This window comes from Homo sapiens, unplaced genomic scaffold, assembly GCF_000001405.40.
Source record: "Homo sapiens unplaced genomic scaffold, GRCh38.p14 Primary Assembly HSCHRUN_RANDOM_CTG27".
Lineage (NCBI taxonomy): Eukaryota > Metazoa > Chordata > Mammalia > Primates > Hominidae > Homo > Homo sapiens.
The window spans coordinates 97,217-123,964 of NT_187505.1; positions in this window are offsets into that span (position 1 = coordinate 97,217).

Consider the following 26,748-nt stretch of genomic DNA (forward strand, 5'->3'; position numbering starts at 1 on the left):
AGGGGCTGACCCCTCACCTCCCTCCCGGACGGGGCAGCTGGCCGGGCGGGTCTGACCCCCCACCTCCCTCCCGGACGGGGTGGCTGCCGGGCGGAGAAGCTCCTCACTTCCCAGACAGGGTGGCTGCCGGGCAGAGGTGCTCCTCACATCCCAGACGGGGCGGTGGAGCAGAGGCACTCCCCACATCTCAGATGATGGGCGGCCGGGCAGAGACACTCCTCACTTCCTAGATGGGATGGCGGCCGGGAAGAGGCGCTCCTCACTTCCTAGACGGGATGGCGCCGGGCAGAGACGCTCCTCACTTTCCAGACTGGGCAGCCAGGCAGAGGGGCTCCTCACATCCCAGATGATGGGCAGCCAGGCAGAGACACTCCTCACTTCCCAGACGGGGTGGCGGCCGGGCAGAGGCTGCAATCTCGGCACTTTGGGAGGCCAAGGCAGGCGGCTGGGAGGTGGTTGTAGCGAGCCGAGATCACGCCACTGCACTCCAGCCTGGGCACCATTGAGCACTGAGTGAACGAGACTCCGTCTGCAATCCTGGCACCTCGGGAGGCCGAGGCTGGCGGATCACTCGTGGCTAGGAGCTGGAGACCAGCCCGGCCAACACAGCGAAACCCCGTCTCCAGCAAAAAAATATGAAAACCAGTCAGGCGTGGCAGCGCGCGCCTGCAATCGCAGGCACTTGGCAGGCTGAGGCAGGAGAATCAGGCAGGGAGGTTGCAGTGAGCCGAGATGGCAGCAGTACAGTCCAGCTTCGGCTCAGCATCAGAGGGAGACCGTGGAAAGAGAGGGAGAGGGAGACCGTGGGGAAAGAGGGAGAGGGAGAGGGAGAGGGAGAGGGAGAGGGCAGGTGTTTTTCATTCATTCCTCTGAAGCACATGGTGTTTTCATTTCTAATTTGTGGAAGAATTTAGTGCAAAACTTGGAGCACAATTATTAGGGCCAATGACAACCCACATATGTGGAATTTTGAGGACTTTTGCAGATTTTATGGATTTGGTGCAGTTCCACAGCAAACTATAAAATTATTATTGCAGACTAAAAGATTGTAAAAGTTAAAACACAAACTATCTGAATTACAGCGCCCAGCAAAACGTGCAAGAAACAGTTAAGTCATCACGCACATCCCTATCATTTGGTATTCTAATGCTTCATTTAGCTAAATATTTTTTATCAGCTTTTTGTCTTAATAATTTCTGGAAATAGGATGATAATTTTGTTTTCACAGTTGGTGATTGTATATGGACAGAAGGTATGAAAGAGGATGAGATTTCTAACTTTCAGATAAAAAGTTTGGCATATTCTATTAGTTCCACCTCATTAATTTTATTACTTATTTTTTTCAGTTCTTATTTTGTTTCATTTTTGAATATGGTATCTGCTGTATGTTGATAATGGTGAGTTAAAAATTTATCAGCTGCAGCCATACATCTGTCTGTTTTTTGTTTTATATATATACACTTTGGGGCTTTTTTATTTGGTATATTAAAGTTTATTCATGTCATATCTTTATTATTAGCTTACCAATTTAACATAATACAATGCTCTTTTAACTCAATAAGAGACTTGAAATACTACATAGCCTGCAATTATATTACCAAATCTGCTTTTCTTTTGTATATATTTAATTAGTTACAATGTACCCAATCCTTAATTTATGCCCCTCTAATCCAGCTTTCAGTTGTTTCTAGGCAGCAACATCTTGTAACATTGTGTTGTTGGATTTTGTTTTAATTCAACTTAAGACACGGTAAACATAGATAGTGGAATTTAAGCCCTTAACACCCAATACCAATTTATTTTGAACTGTTTAAACTCACGATCCTCTACTTCTTTTCCTTGCTTATGGCTTTGTAGAGGCCGGCGTGCAGCACTAAGAGGGTAAGGAACGCAGTGGGAAATCTCTGAGCCCCATTTAGGGTTGTCGCAAATAGAAAGAGGCCAGGTCCTCTTGCTTACTTTGTTGGTGGGGTTCCCTCGCACACTCATGCCTTCTTGAATGCTCATATTCATGCACTTTCACACTCACTTCCTCACGTTCACGCCTCACACAGTAGTGTATATAACATTTTCTGGTTTTACAGTGTTTAAAACTTAGCCTTTAGGGGTGACTGATGCTTTTCTGGGTAAAATGCTGAGCACTGTGAAGGGACTGCATGAGATCAAAAGATCCCCCATCCTGGGAGAAGTTCTGGCTGATTTGGGAGCTGATCCCTGGAGAAGTTCTGGTTGATTTGGGAGCTGATCCTTGGAGAAGTTCTGGTTGATTTGGGAGCTGATCCTGGGAGAAGTTCTGGCTGATTTGGGGGCTGATCCTTGGAGAAGTTCTGGTTGATTTGGGGGCTGAACCTTGGAGAAGTTCTGGTAGATTTGGGAGCTGAACCTTGGAGAAGTTCTGGTTGATTTGGGAGCTGAACCTTGGAGAAGTTTTGGTTGATTTGGGAGCTGATCCTTGGAGAAGTTTTGGTTGATTTGGGGGCTGATCCTTGGAGAAGTTCTGGTTGATTTGGGAGCTGATCCTTGGAGAAGTTCTGGTTGATTTGGGAGCTGATCCTTGGAGAAGTTCTGGTTGACTTGGGGGCTGAACCTTTGAGAAGTTCTGGTTGATTTGGGAGCTGATCCTTGGAGAAGTTCTGGTTGACTTGGGGGCTGAACCTTTGAGAAGTTCTGGTTGATTTGGGAGCTGATCCTTGGAGAAGTTTTGGTTGATTTGGGAGCTGATCCTTGGAGAAGTTCCGGCTGATTTGGGAGCTGATCCTTGGAGAAGTTCTGGCTGATTTGGGAGCTGAACCTTGGAGAAGTTCTGACTGATCCTTCGTGAGCATCATGCACTCCTGGGTTTTATCCTCTGCGCATTAGAGAGGTCAGGCCATGAATGGTCCTAGATCAAGATGAGCACTGAACTTGGTTATTTTCTTCCTGACTTTCATAACCAACAATCAGTGCATTATCATTATCTTCTACTCCATGGATTTAAACATCTTGTTTCTGTATAACAAACCAAACTGTGTACTTTTCACACTACATGTGATTTAAAAATAATGTTCCTAAGTTTTCAGGGGGTGTCTGTTCATCCTCCTGCTGTTCGTAATTATGCCAACAGTAGTAGCTACCACTGATTGCATTTCTTTACTGTTCTGACCCTCACTATGTACCCACAGCACCTTACCCCAGCCCCTGCTTAAGGCACGGGTGTTATTTCTAGTTGATAGATGCGGAACCCGAGGCTCCTGTAGCGAATGAGCATCAGAGCACATATTTAACCCAGCTTTTGGCTCTAGAAGTCCTCGTTCTTTGTTGTTCAAGGAAGGTGCCATCTGGGACACTGTCTTTCATGCACCAGGTTGGAGAATGGCATGAGTTAGGGAATCAGCCTTTTTGGGAAGGCAGAAGCTTGCAGAACCCAGGAGGAGAAAAGCCCAGTGTCCCTCATCCTCTCATCTTTGCCATAGAGAAAACATGAGGACCAAGATGTTTTTCTGACCAGTAGCATGGACTTGCATTCCACTGGGGCCACTCTGACTTTTACAAAGGGCAAGCCTGAAAGCAAACTTGTCGATGTTGAATGAGATTTCCTCAGTACCAAACAGTCTGCATGTGGTGTAGCTGTTTATGAATTGCCTGGGAACAGGAACTGCCCAGAACCTGGGTATCCTGGGACTTGTGGGGAAAAGGGGCTATGAGGATATCAGTGCTACAGGTCGCTTAGTGTCACATGGTCCCTATTTCCAGGGACCCAGTGTTGAGGATTCTCAGTGAGCATGTGTTTCAGGCAAGTCAGAGCGAGCGTCTGGAGCCACTTTGCGACAATCCACTTATTGCTCCTTCTACAATCCAGCACTGTTCTCATGTTGTTTGGTAAATTTTGTTTTTTAATATCTCAGCTGGAGAATGTGTGTTTTGTGGAAGAAATGACCAACTAGTAGAATGCCTTCCATTTGTAATAAAATCCTTGCTGGGTTTGAGTTAATAGGCCTCCAAGGAAGAGCAAGTTAAAATAGAACTGGACAGAGTGCTAAATAAAATACTGTCCAGCATAATCTACTGCCCTCAAGGGAGAGAGCCAAATGACTCAATACGGGTTTTCCATCTTCAATTTCAATAGCCCAATGTCAGGATCAAGCAGCAGAACATGCTGACTACCTCAGTATGCTCCCTGCATTCAAAGTTTCTTTTCCCATGGCCTCTTCTGCTCCTGTGATGCCATCCCCAAGATGCTTAAAGTGCACAGACATGAAAGTCCTTTTACTAGCATTGCAGATCGAGGGGTAGGTAGTGACGTTCTAAAGGAACGAAACAGAATGTGGACCACAGAGAGATCGGCAATTAACACTGCCACCTGTTTTAGTCATTTGTTTGTTTTAATTGGGAGGTTTATATATGGTTATAATCTGTCATTTGTATTAATGTAGCTATCTGTGGGGATGGGGAAAAGAAAGAATAGAATTAGTTATTCATTCATTTATTTATTTATGTATTTATTTTTTAATGATTTTGAGACAGGCCTGGCTCTGTTGCCCAGGCTGGAGTGCAGTGGTGCGATCTCGGCTCACTGCAACCTCCACCTCCTAGGCTCAAGCCATCTTCCCACCTCAGCTTCTTGTGCAGCTGGGACTACAGGTGCATGCCACAACACCAAGCTAATTTTTGTATCTTTTATAGAGATGGGATCTCACTGTGTTGCATAGGCTGATCTCGAACTCCTGAGCTTAAGGGATCCACCCGCATTGGCCGAGTACTAGGATTACAGGCATGAGCCACCGTGCCCAGCCTTGAAGTTTTTTAGTTCAATGATCTTGGCATTTTCAAGATTTGCTATGTAATGACTGCTCCATACCCCTTTCCTATCCATGGGAGTTCAGTTTCAAATGCACTGAGCATTCAAAGTAAGTCATCCTGGAAACAGCATGTCTGGTGATTTCCTAGTTGGGAAAATCTTCTGTTTAGCTGAGAGGGAAATTGCTATGGTTTGAGAAGAGACATTCTATGGTGAAATTTAGGGGAGAAATATATTATCTTTACAGGCGTCCTGGATACAAAACCAAACTGCGCTGCGCTCTACATGAAGAACTAATTTTATTGTGGGGTTTTTTTTTGTTTTTTTTTATTTTCAGAAAGTCTGAGGCTGATATGAATGGAGTAGAGAAAGAGGGAAGGATGGTAGGAAAACACACCTCATTTTCCAGCCAGTGGCCATAGCCAGCCTCATCCCCAAGAAGCCTAAACATTTTATACTTGTGTGAGTCTTCATATGAGCACATTCACTTCACTAGGGCTGCAGCGTCCTGGAGAGATGAATGGTTTCCATTCACAGATGACAACCCTGATGGCCCATACTCAGTGACAGGGATGGTCCACAGCTGACAAACCTGGTGGCCCATACTTGGTGACAGGGATGGTCCACAGCTGACAACACTAGTGGCCTATACTCAGTGATGAGGATGGTCCACAACTGACAACCCTGGTGGTCCATACTCAGTGACAGGGATGGAAGTCCTTCTCCATTTGCCCTTTATTAGAGAGATATATCAGGCTCATTGTGTGGAAGGAAACATTTTCCAATGTACTCCACATGCACTCTGTGATGCTCATTGTCCTCTGACATGTAATTAAACACTGACACTTTTCTCCTAGCTTTCCTAAATGGCTAATGACAGAGGGGTGGTACCAGCTGCCCCAGGGTAAACTACTGAGCAAATCTAAAGGTGTGTCTTCTAGTTCCATCTTCTGTTAGAAAAACCAAATGCTCACAAAATGCAATAACAGTTTAAACCACAACTGCTCTCTCACAATGTTTTTCATCAATCATTATAATTGTTTTTAAAATAAACTTTGTTTTAGGAGATTTGCATATCTACAGAAACATTGTGAACTTAGAGTAGACAGAGTTCACATCCACCCCCGGCTGTGTTTATCATTAACGTCTTACAATATTATATATATTATATTAGTGCATTTATTATTATTCATGTACCAATATTGATATATTTTTATTACTTAAAGCCTATATTTTACTTATATTTATGTGGTTTACACTGAGTGTCCTTTTCTGTTCTGGGATCTCATTCAGGATCCCAAGAAACATTTAGCTGTCAAGTCTCCTGAGGCTCCTCTGGCTGAGGCAGTTCCTGGGACATTTTCTGCTTTGTATGACCTTGCAGGTTTGGAAGAGCACCAATCAGGGGTACAATAGGATGCCCCATACTGAAATCTTTATGTTGTTATTCTCATGATTAGACTGGGGTCATGGCTTTTAGGGAGGAGAACCACAGAGGTAAGGTGCCATCGTCATCACATCATCTGAAGGGTACATACTGTCAACATGACTAATCACTATTTATGGTGACCTTGTTCACCTTGCCAAGGTGGTGTTTGTTAGGTTTTCTCTTTCCATAGTGCACTCTTTAGAAGGAGGCTACTTTGTGCAGCCCACACTTAATGAGTGAGAAGTTTTGCTCCACCTCCTGAGGGTGGAGTATCCAGACAAATTATTTAGAATTCTTATGCATAATTTGTCTCATATCTCCCATTTAAATATTTACTCAATTATCTATTAGTACCAGTATGGACTCATGGATATTTATTTGATACTTTGAGTTAAAATTATATATTATTCTATTTATTTTATTGCTCAAATTTTTCCAGTTCAAAAATTACCCACTACAATATTTATGTAGTGGTACTTTGTTGTCATTTTAAGTTGCAATTCTCTGTTGACAAACAATATTGAGCATTTTTTCATATCCTTATTTGGCATCTGTTTACCTTCTTTGGTGAGGGGTCTGTTCAGGTTTTTTTACATTATTTAACTGGGTTGCTTGTTTTCTTATTGTTGAATTTTAAGAGTTCTTTGTACATTTTAGATACACATTTTTTATCAGATATGCATTTTGAAAATATTTTCTACAAGTCTGTGGCTTGTCTATGATACTTTTAAAAATCTATTTTCACACTCTAATGAGACATATGAAGAGGAAAGAAGTTAGTTAATTATAGGAGACCAATCATGTCTCTACATGGGGGTGTGTGAAGCCTCCTCCCTGGAGGAATCTACTTTTCCTTGGTCTTCCAAATACATTGTTATTTCCAAAACCATATATGAGGAGTATAAAAAAGATATGAGAATATATCAATACTCAAATAAAGAGAAAGTGTACTTAAAAAAAGAATTCTCACAATGACCAGTGAGGTAGATAAAACAGACATACATAAGCGTTCACGTTTATCAGATGCAGAAACTGAAGCCCAGGTAAGCCATATGACCCAGCTAGAGTCACTCAGTCGGCAAGAGATGGAGCCATGACTACACTCTTAGATTCTATCTCCTGGCCCCAAATTCACTTACCTTCATCACACTAGAACCATATCATGTTAGCCAACAGACCATCAATGTGTTTGTTTAAAGTGCTAACTTACTGATAATTCATGCATTTAACAGTGTATTTTTCAGATGCATTTGACCCTTGCTGTGTCAGATAAGTCACTTATTCAAAATGGAATAAGTTAAGATGTAGCATGAGCCTAACCGTGTCTTTGCTTTCTTGGCACTGTAAAGCTACAGTGGATCCTAAGTATTCTATCATCTGATTCTTCCAGACAATTCTTTATTGTACTCAACATTTTAGTGGCAGTAGTCCTTGGAATTTGCTAATCATTTTCCTTAAGAGTTTTGGAGGAAAATATCTGTTACTTAGCCAGCTAGCCAATTAGAAAATTAAAAGTCCCTTTAGATCATAATTTACCAGTCTTGAGACTACTGGCTTTTGGGCTGGATAATTCTTTGGTGTGGTGGGCTCTGATATATTATAAGATGCTTAGCAGCATTCCAGGACTGTCCCTGCTAGATGCCAGTAGTATCCCTCCAGGATGCCACAACCATAAATGTCTCTAGAGATTGACAAGTGTCCCTTGGGGGTTCTATTGGTCCATTTTCACACTGCTGATAAAGATATACCTGAGACTGGGAAGAAAAATAGGTTTAATGGACTCCCAATTCCATGTGGCTTGGGAGGTCTCACAATCATGGCAGAAGGAAACAGACACTTCTTACATGGCAGCAGCAAGAGAGAATGAGAACTGACTGAAAGGGGTTTCCCCTTATAAAACCATCATATCTCGTAAGACTTACTGTCACAAGAGCAGCACAGGAAATACGTGCCCCCATGATTCAGTTACCCCCCACTTGGTCCCTCCCACAACACGGAATTGTGGCAGCTACAATTCAAGATGAGATTTCTGTGGGGACACAGCCAAAACATATCATTCTGTCCCTGGCCCCTCCCAAATCTCATGTCCTCAAATTTCAAAACCAATCATGCCTTCCCAGTAGAACCCCAAATTGTTAACCCATTTCAGCATTAATTCAAAAGTTTACAGTCCAATGTCTCATCTGAGACGAGGCAAGTCCCCTCTGTCTGTGAGCCCATAAAATCAAAAGCAAGTTAATTACTTTCTAGATACAATGTAGGTACATGTATTGGGTAAATACAGCTGTTACAAATGGGAGAAATTGGCCAAAACAAAGGGGCTACAGGCCCCATGCAAGTCCAAAATGCAGCAGGGAAGTCAAATTTTAAAGCTCCAAAATGATATCTTTTGACTCCATGTCTCACATCTGGGTCATGCTGATGCAAGAGATGGGTTCCCGTGGTCTCAGGCAGCTCTGCCCCTGTGGCTTTGGAGGATACTGCCTCCCTCCCAGCTGCTTTCATGGGCTGGTATTGAGTGTCTGTGGCTTTTCCAGGTGCATTGTGCAAGCTGTCAGTGGATCTACCATTCTGGGGTCTGGAGGATGGTGGCTCTCTTCTTACAGCTTCACTAGGCAGCACCCTAGTGGGGAGTCTGTGGGGATCCCCACCCTACATTTCTCTTCTTCACTGCCCTGGTAGAGGTTCTCCATGAGGGCCCCACTGCTGCAGCAAACTTTTGCCTGGACATCCAGATGTTTCCATAATATCTTCTGAAAAACTAGGCAGAGGTTCCCAAACCTCAATTCTTGACTCCTGTGCACCTGCAGGCTCAACACCACATGGAAGCTGCCAAGGCTTGGAACTTGCACCTTCTGAAGCCATGGCCCAAGCTGTACCTTGGCTCCTTTTAGTCATGGATGGAGCAACTGGAACACAGTCCTTAGACTGCACACAGCAGAGAGACTCTGGTCCCGGCCAATGACACCATTTCTTCCTCCTAGGCCTCTGGGCCTGTGGTGGGAGGAGCTACCACGAAGGTCTCTGACATGCCCTGGAGACATTTTCCCCATTGTCTTGGTGATTAACATTCAGCTCCTCATTAATTATGCAAATTTCTGCAGCCAGCTTGAATTTCTCCTTAGAAAATGGGATTTTATTTTCTATCACATTGTCAGGCTGCAAATTTGTCAAACTTTTATGCTCTGTTTCCCTTTTAAAACTGAACACCTTTAACAGCACCCAAGTCACACCTTGAATGCTTTGCTGTTTAGAAATTTCTTCTGCCAAATACCCTAAATCATCTCTCTCAAATTCAAAGTTCCACAAATCTCTAGGTCAGGGGCAAAATGCTGCCAGTATCTTTGCTAAAATATAGCAAGAGTCACCTTTGCTCCAGTTCCCAACAAATTCCTCCTCTCCATCTGAGACCACCTCAGCCCGGATTTCATTGCCCATATCATTATCAGCATTTTGCTCAAAGCCATTTAAAAAGTCTCTACTAGGGAGTTCCAAATATTCCCACATTTCCTGTCTTCTTCTGAGCCCTCCAAACAGTTTCAACCTATGCCTGTTAGCCAGTTCCAAAGTTGCTTTCACATTTTTTGGTATCTTTTCAGCAATGCCCCAGTCCACTGGTACCAATTTACTGTATTAGTTCATTTTCACACTACTGATAAAGACATACCTGAGACTGGAGAGAAAATAGGTTTAATAAACTCACAGTTCCATGTGGCTAGGGAGGCCTCACAATCATGGTGGAAGGCGAAAAGTACTTCTTACATGGCAGCAGTAAGAGAGAATGGGAACTAAGTGAAAAGGGTTCTCCCTTACAAAACCATTATGTCTCATGAGACTTATTAATTATCATGAGAAGATCATGGGAAAAGCCTTTCCCCATGATTCAATTACCTCCTACTGGATCCCTCCCACAACATGTGGGAATTGTGGAAGCTACAATTCAAGATAAGATTTGCATGGGGGCACAGCCAATCCATATCGGGGCAAAGTCCCCTCTGTCAAGAACCACTACTCTAGTGTTTAAACTGTTTGATGACTAAAGATTGCAGCAGCAGTAGATTATAATATGTTAATTTCAAGAAGCTGTAGACTTTATAAGTATAATTTATTGTTTTGTATTTTTATTACTTTATTTATATCATAATTTGATCAAGCAAAACAAATTTAAATTTTCATTTCAAAATTGATAATAAAATGGAAGGAATAGGATTAAATGACAGGAAGGATAGAAAAGGCAAAATGGAGGTCAACTAAGGCTTAAATTTATTTTTGGCAAAATGAAACAATTTTCTGATTCAAAGAAATGTCCCTCATGGGAACATCTTTTGCCTTTTGTCTTTTCATTATAGAATCATAGAATCTTAGAGCCAGTTGGGCCCACAGAGATTACCAGGTGAGTGCTAGAGAAAGAAGGGTAAAACATTGGTGATAGGTTCATGTTCCTTCTTACTGCAGCCTGTTAGTCTGAGTGCTATAATACATATGACTTAATTATGGAAAATCTATAGTTAATTATAGCATTAATTATAGCATAGAAATAATCTGAAAATTGGCCGGGCGCGGTGGCTCATGCCTGTAATCCCAGCACTTTGGGAGGCCAAGACGGGTGGATCACTAGGTCAGGAGATGGAGACCATCCTGGCTAACACAGTGAAACTCCATCTCTACTAAAAATACAAAAAAAAAAAAAAAATTAGCCGGGCGTTGTGGCGGGTGTCTGTAGTCCCAGCTACTCAGGAGGCTGAGGCAGGAGAAAGGCATGAACCTAGGGGGCAGAGCTTGCAGTAAGCGGAGATCGTGCCACTGCACTCTGGCCTGGGTGAAAGAGCGAGACTCCATCTCAAAAAAAAAAAAAGAAAAGAAAGAATCTGAAAATTATACATAGCAACACATGGAAGTTGATTTGAAAAGTTGTCCGTTTTGAACTAGGACTCCCTGGAGAACTGGCTGACTCAAGGGCTAGGGAAGGGAAAATGCATGATGAACCTGGAGGACCTTGTGTTGCCAGAAAGTAAGGGGTCAGGGAACAGGCCTGACAAAGCAACATGCAGCCAACCTGAAAGAGCTCCCAGTGGCCAAAGCTGGAAAACTTTGAACAACAAAATTAATAAAAATACTACTGAGTTATAACCCAAAGAAAAAAGTAAATATCTGTGAGTTTATACTGATAAAAATAAATGGTTAAATACATAATAACTGAAGAAGTGAAAAAAATCTTCCTTGTGGAAGATTTCCAAATAGTAAACATAAAAGAAAGGAGGGAAATGGAAGACACCACTTGATGTGGTTTGGCTGTGTCCCCACTCAAATCTTGTCTTGAATTGTAGCTCCCATAATCCCCACCTGGCCTGGGAGGTACCCAGTGGGAGGTAATTGAATCATGGCTCTGATTTTTTCCCATGCTGTTCTGGTGATAGTGAATAAATCTCATGAGATCTGATGGTTTATAAAGGGCAGTTCCCCTCCACATGCTCTCTTGCTTACCACCATACAAGATGTGCCTTTGCTCTATCTTTGCCTTCCACCATGATTGTGAGGCCTCCCCAGTCCTGTGGAACTGTGAGTCCATTAAACATCTTTTTCTTTATAAATTACCCAGTCTCCCATATGTCTTTGTTAGCAGTGTAAGAATGGACAAATACACCACTAGAATACCACAGTAATAGTCGCCATAGGAAAGATTCATGGATGACTGCTGAAATTAGTGTCTGAAACATAAGGAAGAAACAGGATATTTGAATAACCTCAAATATCTGTGGCCAAAGATTTATTAATTACTGTACTGAATTTAACATATATCCACAAATTCTTTCATAGTTTTTCCTCCAGCAGGTGGAGTTTAATTTCCCTCCTTATGAAAGTAAGCTGGATTTAGTGCCTTGCTTGTAATAAATAGAGTTTTGGAAAAGTAAAAATAGTGACCCTACAGTGAAAAAATCTGAAAGATTTAGCCTTATCCAAGTGATGGAGGTGAGCATCACCAGTGATAAGTAGTGTTGATGTCAAGCATCCCTGGAAATGATGCAATGAGAAGGACATCACCACTGTGTTACCTTACCCCCAAATCCAGAATGCCAGTGCAATCTAGAGAAAAAATCCGCAATTGAGGAGCATTCTACAAAATACCTGACTAATACTCTTCAAAAGTGTCAAGTTCATGAGTAACAAGGGAAGACAGTGACGCTGTCACGGATTGGCAGAGACTAAGAAGACATAACAGATGAATGCAACGTGGTATTCTGGATTGGATCCTTGAATAGGAAAAGGGCATTATTGGAAAAACTGTCAAAAAGCCAAATAAAGTCCATAGTTTAGTCAATAGTGTAGCAATGTTGATTTCTTAGTTTTGATAAATGTGTCATGGTTATATAACACGCTAAAATTAGGGGAGACTGGGTGGAAGGCTCACTGGAACCCTTTATACTATCCTTACAACTTTTCTATAAATCTTAGTATTTCAAAGTTAAGTAAAAGTGAAAAATTGTGAAGTCCCTTCTTTCTTAAAACAAATCTAGGATGCTTGTTATGTGTTAACAATTCTTGTAAATGCAAATCACTTTGGAGAACAATAAATATTACCCAGAAAAACTGACCACTTTCAATCCCCATGACCTAGCAATTTTATTGATTGTATGTTTTTAAAAATGTGCCTGTGCCCAATATCACTAATTAATAGGGATGCATATCGAAACCGCAACAATGTACCACTTCCCAGCCGTTAGTTTGGCTACTACTAGAAAACAAAAACAAAAACAGATATTTGAACACTTGACACTGCTGGTGGGAATGTAAAATGGTACAGTAACAATGGAAAACAGTTTGGAGGTTCTTCAAGAAATTGAAAATAGATATATCTTGTCATTCAGCGTTTTCACTTCTGGGGATATATCCAAAAGAATTGAAAGTAGGGACCTAAACAAATGTGTGTATACGCATGTCCATAGCAGCATTACTTGCATCAGCTAAAACATGGAAGCAACCCAAAGATCCATCAGTGGAAGAATAGATAAGCAAAATGTGCTACATACATACAATGAAATATTAATCAGCATTAAGAGGCAATGAAATTCTGAGACATACTACAACATGGATAAACCTTGAAGATTTTATGCTAAGTGAAATAAGTCAGTCACAAAATGACAAATATTCTGTGATTCCCCTCATACAATATACTTAGTAAGACTCATGGGGACAGAAAGAAGAATGATGGTTGCCAGGGGCTGGGGGAAGGCAGAATGGAGAGTTATTGTTTGAAAGGTACAGAGGTTTTTTTTTTTTAATTATTATTATTTCAATAGTTTTGAGAAAGCAGGTGGTGTTTGGTTACATGGATAAGTTCTTGAGTGGTGATTATGAGATTTTGGTGCACCCATCACCCAAGCAGTGTACACTGTACCCAATGTACAGCCTTTTGTCCCTTATCACCCACTTCTCCTCAAGTCCCAGAGTCCATTATGTCATTCTTATGCCTTTGTGTCCCCATAGCATAGCTTCCACTTATAAGTCAGAACATACGATGTTTGGTTTTCCATTCCTGAGTTACATCAGTTAGAATAGTGATCTCCAACTCCATCAAGGTTGCTGCAAATACCATTATTTCATTCATTTTTATGGCTGAGTAATGTTCCATGGTATATATATACACCACATTTTCTTTATCCACTATTGATTGATGGGCATTTGGGCTGGCTCCTTATTTTTGCAACTGTTAAACTGTGCTGCTATAAATGTGTGTGCCAGTGTCTTTTTCATATAATGACTTCTTTTCCTCTGGGTAGATACTCACAAGTGGGATTGCTGGATCAAACGGAAGTTCCACTTTTAGTTCTTTAAGGAATTTCCATACTGTTTTTCATAGTGGTTATACTAGCTTATGTTTCTACAAGCAGTGTAAAAGTGTTCCCTTTTCACAACATCCATACCAATGTCTATAATTTTTTGATTTTTAAAATTATGGCCATTTTTGCAGGAGAAAGGTGGTATTGCATTGTGGTTTTTATTTGCATTTCCATGATAATTAGTGATGTTGTGCATTTCTTTATATGTTTGATGGCCATTAGTATATCTTCTTTTGAAAATTGTCTGTTCATGGCCTTAGCTCACTTTTTGATGTGTTTGTTTTTATCTTGTTGATTTGTTTGAGTTTCTTGTAGATTATGAATATTAGTCCTCTATTGGATACATAGTTTGTAGTTTGCGAATCTTTTCTCCCACTCTGTGCATTGTCTGTTTACTATGATGATTATTTCTTTTGATTTGCAGAAGGTTTTTACTTTAATTAAGTTTCATTGGTTTATCTTTGTTTTTGTTGCATTTGCTTTTGAGTTCTTGATCATTAACTTTTTGCCTAGGCCAATGTCTAGAAGAGTTTTTCCAGTGTTATCGTCTAGAATTTTTATGGTTTCAGGTCTTAGATTTAAGTCTTTGATCCATTTTGAGTTGATTTTGTATAAGGTGAGAGATGAGGATTTAGTTTCATTTCTGTACATGTGGCTTGCCAATTATCCCAGCAGCATGTGTTAATAGGGGATCCTTTCTCCATTTTATGTTTTGTTTGCTTTGTGGAAGATCAGTTGATCATAAGTATTTGGCTTTATTTCTGGGTTCTCTATTCTGTTTTATTGGTCTATGTGCTTATTTTTTCATCAGTTCTATGCTGTTTTGGTAGCTATAGCCTTGTAGTATAGCTTGAAGTGAGATAACGTGATGCCTCCAGATTCGTTCTTTTTGCTTATTTAATCTTGCTTTGGCTATATGGGCTCTTTTTTGGTTCCATATGAATTTTAGGATTGTTTTTTCTAGTTCTGTGAAAAATGATGATGGTATTTTGATGGGAATTGCATTGAATTTATAAATTGCTTTCAGAAGAATTATCCTTTTCACAATATTGATTCTACCCAACCACGAGCATAGGATGTGTTTCCATTTGTTTGTGTTGTCTGTGATTTCTTTCAGCAGTGTTTTGTAGTTTTCCTTGCAGAGATTTTTCACATTTTTGTTGGGTATATTCTTAAGTATTTTACTTTTTTGTAGCTGTTGTAAAAGACATTGAGTTCTTTATTTGATTCTAAGCTTGGTCATTGTTGGTGTATAGCAGTGCTACTGATTTGTGTACATTAATTTTGTACCTGAAACTTTACTGAATTCATTTATTAGATCTATGAGCTTTTGGGATGAGTCTTTAGGGTTTTCTAAGTATACCATCATGTCAGTGGCATTAGCAACAGTTTGACTTCCTCATTACTGATTTGGATGCCTTTTGTTTACTTCTCTTGTCTAATTGCTCCAGCTAAGACTTTCAGTACTATGTTGAATACAAGTGGTGAAAGTGGGCATCCTTGTTTTGTTCCACTGATCAGAGAAAATTCTTTGAGCTTTTCCCATTCAGTATGATGTTGGCTGTGGATTTGTCATAAATGACTTTTATTACCTTAAGGTATGTCCCTCTATGCTGTTTTGCTGAGGGTTTTAATCATAAAGGGATGCTGGATTTCATCAAATGCTTTTTCTGCATCTATTGAGGTGATCATATGATTTTTGATTTTACTTCTGTTTATGTGCTGTATCACATTTGTTGACTTGCATATGTTAAACCATCCCTGTATCCCTGTTATAAAACACACTTGATCATGGTGGATTATCTTCTTGATATGCTGTTGAATTGAGTTAGATAGTATTTTGTGGAGGATTTTCACATCTATGTTCATCGGGGATATTGGTTTGTAGTTTTCTTTTTTTTTGTTATATCTTTTCCTGGTTTTGGTATTAGGGTAATGCTGGCTTCATAGAATGATTTAGAGAGGATTCCCTCTTTCTCTATCTTTTGGAATAGTTTCAGTAGGATTGGTACCAATTCTTCTTTGAATGTCTGATAGAATCCAGCTGCTCCTGGACTTGTTGTTGCTGGCAGTTTTTTTTATTGCTGTTTTAACCTTGCTACTTGTTATTGGTCTGTTCAGAGTTTCTATTTTTTTCTGGTTTAATCTAGGAGGATTATGTATTTCCAATAATTTATCCAAATCTTTTAGGTTTTCTAGTTTGTGGACATAAAGGTGTTCATAGTAGCCTTGAATGATCTTTTGTATTTCTGTGGTATTAGTTGTAACATCTCCCATTTCATTTCTAATTGAGTTTACTTGGATCTCCTCTCTTTTTCTCTTGGCTAATCTTGCTAATAGTCTCTCACTTTTGTTTATGCAAAAAGAACTAGCTTTTTGCTTCATTTATCTTTTGTATTGTTTTTGTTTGCTTGTTTCAATTTTATTTAGTTCTACTGTGATCCTGGTTATTTCTTTTTTTCTGCTGGGTTTGGGTTTGGTTTGTTCTGGCTTCTCTAGTTCCTTGAGGTGTGACCTTGGGTTGTTTATTTGTGCTCTTTCAGACTTTTTGATGTAGGCATTCAATGCTATGAACTTTCCTCTTAGCACCACTTTTGCTGTGTCCCAGAGATTTTGATTGGCTGTGTCACTATTATTGTTCAGTTCAAATATATTTTTTAATTTCCATTTTTATTTTATTTAACCCCAGGATCATTCAGTAACAGATTATTCAGTTTCCATGTATTTGTATAGTTTTGATGGTTCCTTTGACAGTTAATTTGTAATTTTATTCCACTGTGGTCTGAGAGAGAGTATTTTACATAATTTCAATTTTCTTAAATTAATTGAGACATGGTTTTTTTTTTTTTTTTTTTTTTTAGATGGAGTCTCACTCTTGTTGCCCAGGCTGGAGTGCAGTGGCATGATCTCAGCTCACTGAAACTTCCTCCTCCCAGGTTCAAGTGATTCTTCTACCTCACCTTCCCTAGTAGCTGGGACTACAGGTGCATGTCACTATGCCCAACTAATTGTTTTTGTATTTTTAGTAGAGACACGGTTTTGCCATGTTAGCCAGGCTGGTCTCAAACTCTTGACCTCAGGTGATCTGTCTGCCTTGGTCTCCCAAAGTGCTAGGATTACAGGTGTGAGCCACCACACCCGGCCGAGACACATTTTGTGGCCTATTATATAGTCTATTTTGGAGAATGTTCCATGTGCTGAGGAGAAGAACATATATTCAGCAGTTGTCGGATAGAATGTTCTGTAAACATCTGTTAAGTCCATTTGTTCTAGGGTGTAGTTTTCCACTGTTTCTTTGTTGACCTGTATTTATGACCTTTCTAGTGGTCAGTGGAGTATTGAAGTGCCCACTATTATAGTGTTGCTGTCTATCTAATTTCTTAGGTCTCATGATAATTGTTCTATAAATTTTGGAGCTCCAGTGTTAGGTGCATATATATTTAGGATTGTGATTTTTTTCCTGTTGGACGAGTTTTTTGATCACTATTTAACTGTTGCTGATTTAAAGTATTTTCTGTCTGATACAAGAATGGATACTTCTACTCACTTTTGGTATCCATTTGTGTGGAATATCTTTTTCCACTTGGTTACCTTAGGTTTAGGTGAAGCCTTATGTGTTAGGTGCATCTCTTAAAGACAGCAGATACTTGATTGGTGGATTTTTATTCATTCTGCCATTCTGTATCTTTTTTTTTTTTTTTTTAAGATGGAGTCTCGCTCGGTCACCAAGCTGGAGTGCAGTGGTGTGATCTTGGCTCACTGCAACCTCCACCTCCCGAGTTCAAGTGATTCTCCTGCTTCAATGTCCCGAGTAGCTGGGACTACTGGCTTGTACCACCGCGCTTAGCTAATTTTTGTGTTTTTAGTAGAGACGAGGTTTCACAATGTTGGCCAGGATGGTCTAGGTCTCTTGATCTCGTGATCTGCCCACCTCTGCCTTCCAAAGTGCTGGGATTACAGGTGTTAGCCACCATTCCCAGCCCTGTATCTCTTAAGTGAAGCATTTAATCCATTTACGTTCAACATTAATATTGAGATGTGAGGTACTGTTCTATTCATCATGCTAGTTGTAGTCTCAATACGTTGTTTTTTAAATTGTGTTATTGTTTTATAGATCCTGTGAGATTTATGCTTTAAAGAGGTTCTATTTTGGTGTATTTTAGGTTTCATTTCAAGATTTAAGACTCCTTTTAGCATTTTTTGCAGTGCTGGCTTGGTAGTAACAAATTCTCTCAACATTTGTTTGTTTGAAAAATACTTTTTCTCTCCTTCATTTATGAAGCTTAGTTTCACTAGATATAAAATTCTTGACTGTTATTGTTTTGTTTAAGGGGGCTAAATATAGGACCCCATCCCTTCTGTCCTGTAGGGTTTCTGCTGAGAAATCTGTTGTCAATCTGATAGCTTTTTCTTTATAGGTTACCTGCTGCTTTTGCCTCACAGCTCTTAAGATTATTTCTTTCATCTTAACTTTAGATAACCTGATGGCTATGTGCATAGGTGATGATCTTTTTGTGATGAATTTTCCAGGTGTTCTTTGAGCTTCTTGTATTTGGATGTCTAGATCTCTAGCAAGGCCAGGGAAGTTTTCCCTGAGTATTCCCTCAAATAAGTTTTCCAAACATTTAGATTTCTTTTCTTCCTCAGGAATGCCAATTATTCTTATGCTTGGTTATTTAACAAAACCCCAAATTTCTTGGAGTCTGTTAATTTTTTAAAATTCTTTTTTCTTTGTCTTTTTTTTTCAGTTAATTTGAAAGCCTTGTCATTGAGCTCTGAAGTTCTTTATTCTACTTGTTTTATTCTATTGTTGAAACTTTTCAGTTTATTTTGTATTTTTCTAAGTGTGTCTTTCATTTCCAGAAATTGTGATTGTCTTTGCTTTATGATACATGTTTCTCTGGAGACTTTTTCATCCATATACTGTATTGTTTTCAAAATTTCTTGAAGTTGGTTTTCACCTTATTCTGGTGCCTCCTTGAATAGCTTAATAACCAACCTTCCAATTTTTTTTTTTTTTTTTTTTTTTTTTGGCAATTCAGAGATTTCTTCTTGGTTTGGATCCACAGCTAGAGAGCTAGTGTGATCTTTTGGGGGTACTATACAACTTGTTTTGTCATATTACCAGAATTACTTTTTTGGTTTCTTTTCATTTGGGTAGACTGTTTCAGTGGAAAGATCTGGACCTCAAGGGCTGCTATTCAGATTCTCTTGTCCCACATGGTGGTGCTCTCTTGATGTGTGCCCTCCCCCTTCCTCTAGGGATAGGACTTCTTGAGAGCCAGATTGCAGTGATTGCTAATGCCCTTCTGGGTCTAGACACCCAGTGGGGCTACTGGGCTCCAGGCTGGTGCTGCAGAATGTCTGCAAAAAGTCCTGTGCTGTGATTTGTCTTCAGGTCTCCCAATTCTGGATAACAGCCCCTGCTCTGGTGGAGGTGGCAGGGGAGTGAAGTGAACTCTGGGATTTTTTGGTTGTTGTAATGTGATGGTTTTCTCAAATGCTGGTTATGCTAGCAGTGAAATTTTCACAGGGACAGACTCAGGACCTCTGGTTAGCCAGGATGTTGCAGGCAATGGAATTAGCTGTTGTTTTCTCCTTCTATGAAGCAGGGTTGTTCTCTTATGAGTTGCTGTAATGGCTTGAGTTGGTTGGCCCCAGCCAGGAGGTGGCACTCTCAAGAGAGCACAAGCTACAGTTGTAGAAGGGGGCTACCACCTTGCCCTATGTTGGCCAGGATAAGTACTCGGGTTTCTCAGGTGATGGGCAGGGACATAGAGCTCCCAAGAGTTTATGTCTTTTGTCTTCGGCTACCAGGGCAGGTAGAGAAAAACTTTCAAAGGGTCTGTGAATTCTTTCAGTCTCCCTAGTATGTCCTTGGAACAGAAGTTCACAATGTGAATCTCCAGACGCTGATCTGTTTGTCTAAATGGGAGCTGCATGTTAGTCCTGTCTCCTCTCTGGTGTTTTTTCTCTCCTACCTGAAAGGTACGGAGTTTCAGTGTGGGATGATGGAAAGTGCTGGAGTGGATATTGGTGATGTCTGCACAACAATGGGAATGAATTTAATGCCACTGAGTTGTACATTTGAAAATCATTGAAATGGCACATTTTAGTTATGTATATCTTACCACAATAAAACATCAGTTAAAAGAATTTTATTTATAGACCAAATATGTCTGTGCTCTATTTATAACTCCTAGTATGTTAGGAATCACCCCAAGTACATGTTCCTAGGATTAATGCTTTCTAAAATAATCCTGTGGTCTGGTACGTATTCTCAAGGAAGGGATTCCTGTTGAACCCAGCTTGAGGAATTCTTTGCTGTCTACTGCTCAGTGTCTGTTGACTGGAACGCTGGAGACGATGCAGCACACATTGGCCCCTGTGGTGCTCACATGATTTCCTTGTGCTTTCCTCGGATGGGATGCAGCATGGGAGTGCCGGGGTGTGGAGTGCAGCGTGTGAGTGCCGGGGTGTGGGGTGCAGCGTGGGAGTGCCGGGGTGTGGGGTGCAGCGTGGGAGTGCCGGGGTGTGGGGTGCAGCGTGGGAGTGCCGGGGTGTGGGGTGCAGCGTGGGAGTGCCGGGGTGTGGGGTGCAGCGTGGGAGTGCCGGGGTGTGGGGTGCAGCGTGGGAGTGCCGGGGTGTGGGGTGCAGCGTGGGAGTGCCGGGGTGTGGGGTGCAGCGTGGGAGTGCCGGGGTGTGGGGTGCAGCGTGTGAGTGCCGGGGTGTGGGGTGCAGCGTGGGAGTGCCGGGGTGTGGGGTGCAGCGTGGGAGTGCCGGGGTGTGGGGTGCAGCGTGGGAGTGCCGGGGTGTGGAGGAGCAGCTGGTGTTTCACGTTGCTGAACTAAAACCTTGGTTGCACTCAGCATTCAGATTCTGGGGACACTGTGGTGACCTGACACAGGGTAGCATAGAGATGGCATTGCCCTCAGCCTGCTAGCAGCAGGAGGGTCGGGGTCCATCCTCAGCATGTGCGGGCTGCCCCTCGTCCGCAGCGGGAATCAAACTGACGCTGCATATCTCTTAACAGTTTCAGATTTTGCCTCGTCCCATGTTTGGATGTGATGATTTGGGTTGGCTCTGGCCACTGGCAATACCCTGAGTTATTAGAAAATGTAAGGAGCTGTTCCTCATCCCTGTTTCCTGTGTCCTTAACCTTTCTCTGTTTTTAGTTTCTCAGCATTCAAGGGCTGAGCCAGTGCTCTTTAGTGAAGGACTTCTACTTTGTGGATATGAACAATTTCTCCCCATTTCTCTTTCCCATCTTGTCTCTAACGTGGAGGGAAGGGAGTGATGTTTGTCCACAGCACCTTCGGCAACTATCATGACATGTTTGCGAGCGTCACCTTCTTGTGCTAGACTCATAGCCATGATGCATGTTTGGCATATTTGGTGCTCAATAAATGACCTCACATAGACACACAGCAACATGTGAAAAGCCAGTAGGAAGGAAGATCGACTGCCTCATACAAGGTCAGCAAACCTTTCTGTAAAGGGACAGAGAGTAAATATTTTTGGCTCTGTGGCCATATGGTCTCTGTCACAAATACTCAACTCTGCCAGTTAGAAAGCAGCCATGGACAAGAGGCAGGTGAACGGGCATGGCTGTTTCAATCATCTTTATTTATAAAAAAAAAAAAAATGTGGGCCAACCTGGCCTTCAACCTGTAGCTTTCCAGCCTAGTATAACCTTTTCTTTAGCTATTCTCTTTTGTTTAGTCTTAGAGTTAATGACTATGTCGAAAAAGTCTTTGAGACCAGGAATAAAATTTAAGGAAAAATATGCTAATCACGTTATTTCCAAATTATAGGTAAAATAAGTACAAATAATAGCAGATTACAGTGGGACTAGTTTAGTGAAAGACTAGAGGACATATAATAGAGGCACATGTAAAAATTATAGATAATAGTGTCAACTTTCATAACTTAAAGTGAAAAATTTCTTTTACCATGTTTACTTTGCAGGCAGAAAAATAACATTAGTAAGGAATAATTGCTATTTCTTTTTGGTTATTTTTCTCTCATTCATATTAACTTTTCCTAAATTTCAAAACTGTTAGGCTCAATATCTCATAATCTGTATGAGGAGAATATTTTTGTATCATCTGCTCTGAAAAACTAAACTGATTATATTCTCTACTAAACACCTGCTCATATCCTGTTAATGTCTCTAAACAGAGGAAGAAATGGTTGCTCTAAACAGGTGACAAAGCCCTGATTTTGCACACGTAAAGATTTCCTTGCTTCCCACATGATGGGCATCTTTCCACTCATGGTAAGCCATCATTGTCTTCTTAGTTTATATTCACTGATTCAGTATTTCCTGAGTACCTGCTATGAGCCAAGCACTGCTCATAAGTTTTCTGTGCTTCAGCAAATCAGTGAGCAAAAGAGACAAAGATCTCCATCCTCAAGCTGCTTGTTTTTCACAGGGAGGGGCAGGTAGTCAACAATAAACACAATAAAGTGGGCAGTACAGAGTGGTAAAAGTGAACAGAGTTATGGAGAACAGTAGGACAGAGTGATGAGAGTGCAGAGCGCTGTGCTGTGTGTGTCTGGGTGGGGGAGGTTTCAGGGTTAAGCAGGGTGATCAGAGCAGTGGGTAGACCCCCTGAAAAGATGAAGCTTGAGACAAAATTTGAAAAAGATAAAGAAATAGATCATGGCTATCTGAGAGAAGAGACTTCCAAATGGAGAGCAGATAGAGCAAGGATCACGAGACAGGTGCTTGCCACTTGCATCCATGGATGAGCATGTAGTCTGGCATGGCTGCAGCAGTGAGGGAGGGTGGAGCTTTCAGAGGGGAGGCTGGACTGGTATTGGGTCCAGACCATGGATGGCCTCAGAGCCCACCAGCTCAGAAGTGGGAAGTGATTGCAGGGTGCTGGGCAGAAGTGTGTCTAAAAGGAAGTCTCAAAGAATGCTTCTGACTGCTGTGCTCAGAGTAGACTGCAGGGGTCAGGGGTAGAAACAGTGGAGTCTGTGAGAGGCTTGTGCAACCTCCCAGTGAAAGATGATGGTGACTCCAACCAGGTTGTAGCATTGGAGGTGGTGAGAAAAGCCAGATTTGGGTAGATCTTGAAAGTAGGACAATCACATTTTCTGAGGGATTGGAGGCAGGGCGTGAGAGAAAGAATGATGCTCAGGATGATGCTCAGGTTTTTGGCCTGTTATATGTTAATAGAAATCCTCTCTATACAGAGATTTAAAAAGAAAATGCTGTTGAAGTGTTATCCAATAACAACTACCCTTATATTTGTATTGTAACTTTATACTGTCAGATGAAAGTGCCAACAGAATGTCTCTTCTGGTCTGAGAAGAATAGCCACGTATAAAACCTGTCTGCAGCTTACTGTTCTCTAGCAGAGGTTGTGCTTTTATGGATAGCTCACTGGCTTGCTTCCTAGCAGAGGCTCCTAGCTAGAGGGAGGACTCTAACTCTCATGGCATGTGCTGCTTAGTCTTGAGACTAAGAATAAGGGTTTGGAGTATAATAATTAGTTCTTGGTTCTGTTCTGCTTGGAAAAAAAACTCAGAAAGCCTCTTGGTACCCACAATGATGAAAATAGTCATTACTAATTGTATTCGTGGGCACCCAAGGCATAAACATGTACAAGGCACTTAATAATAATACCATCATCACATCGATTTTTATGATTCTCGGGCTTACCCTGGGCCACACACTTTGTTGGGAGCTCCACACATTGTCTTTCAACCCCTCACGGCACCTTGAAAGCTATAATCCTTTTGTAACACATGAAGTGTCTGAAATGCAGAAAGGTTACTGGACTTGTTTAAGTCCAAATAGATACTGAAGAGTGGGGCTGGGGCTCCCTTGACTCCAGACTTGCCTGCCTCCAATGTCAGCGTCCTTCTGATTTTCCTGCCTCCAAAACTCAGGGATTTAGATGAATGATGTATTCATAGCATGCTAACTCAACAAACACATTGATTTAGTGTTTTCTACGTGTTAGAAACTGACTTAGCTTGACATTGGAGGATAAAAGATAGATTGATTGGTTGATCAAATGGTTTTTGAATGCTTATTATATGCCAGAGGTGTGCAATACTATAGAAAGATAAAGATGAATGGTCCTTTGTCTTAAGAAGGAACCACCATTTCTTGGATGTCCTGGATGGTGGTGTTTAAATACTATAGGACAAGAAGCAGAAGAAACCTAAATGGGAAGCCTTCTGTTTGAAAACCCTTCCTTATTTAGGCATTTCAAAAATGTATTAATCTAAGAAACTTGGTATCTTTTGAATTGCAAAGTGGACAATCATATTTCAAGAATGATTTGAGGCAGGCTTAGCTTAGGTACAAGTTATTATAATTATTATAATTTGTACATAAGCTAAGTGTATTAGTTCGTTCTCATACTGCTAATAAAGACATACCTGGGACTGGGTAATTTACAAAGGAAGGAGGTTTAATTGGCTCACAGTTCCACATGGCTGAGGAGGCCTCACAATCATGGCAGAAAGTGAAGAGGAAGAAGGACACATCTTACATGGCAGCAGGCAACAGAGAGCTTGTGCAGGGAAATTCCCCTCTATAAAACCATCAGATCTCATGAGACTTATTCACTACCACGGGAACACTATGGGAGGAAATGGCCCCCATGATTCAATTATCTCCACCTGGCCCCACCAGGTGGCTAATGTGCGGGGATTATTACAATTCAAGGTGAGAATTGGGTGGGAACACAGCCAAACCATATCACTAAGCCTACCTCAAACCATTTGTAAAATATTCTTGAAATATAATTAGTTTTCTAATGTACTCTCATTCAAGTTCTTGCTTGCCTCTGAAACTCACCAGTAGATATGTAAGAAATAGTATTCAAATCACGTGAGGCTCTGACCATATCATTTCAAAACACGCTCATCTCTACTTGAGAACATGACTCCAGCGCCATCTCTTCTGAGATCCTTCTTGCTGATTTTACTTAAATTAGATGCCTTCGCATACCTGCCACATCACTTTACACTGTTAGATTTTTACATAGCTTTGTCACTGCCAGAAATTATCACCTACCTGTCTGTTCATTTATTGCTTTGTTTTGACAAAGTGTTTGATTTATGCAATATAACATTTAAGTGAAAAGAGACTCAATGTTCATCAATAGAGTTTAAAATTTCCAATCTATATGACATTATCAATAGCTTTTTTATATTAAAATAAATTTTATATTAAACATACTTGTATTCACAGATGACCCAAATTGTTGGAACTAAAATTTACATTTATATAAACTCATCATTGATCTAAATACAATATGGATATGAATTTATATGTACTTTAATGTCATCAATATTAATGTGAATTTCAAATAAAAATCCATAAAATTGTTAAACATGGAGGAGACAGATATAAAGATATAAATGCTGTCTAGGGGAACAGCATTTCAGATGGAGGAACAGGCAAGGAGAGAAGCTTGGAGTGTGGTGAGGAACAGGCTTGGAGAGAAGCTTGGAGTGTGGTGAGGAACAGGCAAGGAGAGAAGCTTGGAGTGTGGTGAGGAACAGGCAAGGAGAGAAGCTTGGAGTGTGGTGAGGAACAGGCAAGGAGAGAAGCTTGGAGTGTGGTGAGGAACAGGCTTGGAGAGAAGCTTGGAGTGTGGTGAGGAACAGGCAAGGAGAGAAGCTTGGAGTGTGGTGAGGAACAGGCAAGGAGAGAAGCTTGGAGTGTGGTGAGGAACAGGCAAGGAGAGAAGCTTGGAGTGTGGTGAGGAACAGGCAAGGAGAGGAGCTTGGAGTGTGGTGAGGAACAGGCAAGGAGAGAAGCTTGGAGTGTGGTGAGGAACAGGCAAGGAGAGGAGCTTGGATTGTGGTGAGGAATGAAGAGCATTTGAAATACTCACAGAAGGTCAATGTGACGCAGATGCGGTAAGCCAGGCAGAGTGTGGCAGGAGATAAAAATAGAAAGATAAACAAGAGCCAGATAATACAGGGCTTTGTGGAACATAGTAAGGAGTTTGAATTTTATCCAAGAGGAATGGGAAGCTACTGGAAGGCTTAACCAAAGAATGACTTGCTTTTATTTATACCTAAAATAGATTATTGTGTTTCCTCTGTGGAAAAGGGATTATAAGTGGGCAAAAACAGAAACAGTTAAGAAGTCATTACAGTACTTGAGGAAATGGTTCATGAGTTAGACTGGGTGGTGCAATGGTGTGAGAGAGAAGAGGGTGGATTCAGCTGGTGAGCTGATTGTGGGAAGTGAGGGGGAAACAATGGGACTTCTAGACTTTTGGCTGAAGCAACTGGGTGGATAGTTCTATTTTCTTGGATTTAATGTTTTGGATGTGTTAAGTTTCAGAGGCTTATTAGGAATCTATGGCTAGTCAGGACTAGAAAATATAAATTTGGAACTCATGCACTTAGGGATGATAGTATTTGAAAGCATGACCCAACTTAGCTTAAGTAGAGATAGGGAGGATAGAGAGAGAAGGGAGGAGGCCCAGGACAAACATCAGGGTTTAGAAGTCTGGCAGAGAAGCCGAAGCTCTCAGAGAAGACTGAGGAGTAGCCAGAGAAGCAAGGGGATTGACAGGAGAAGGTGGCAGGGAAGCTGATAGAAGGAAATGCCTCAACAAGCATTCTCAGGTCTGTCGGCTGCTGCTGAAAGAAAACGAATCACCATATTCGGCAGAAAGAAAGAAAATGAATCACCATGTTTGGAAACATGAAGGCCACTG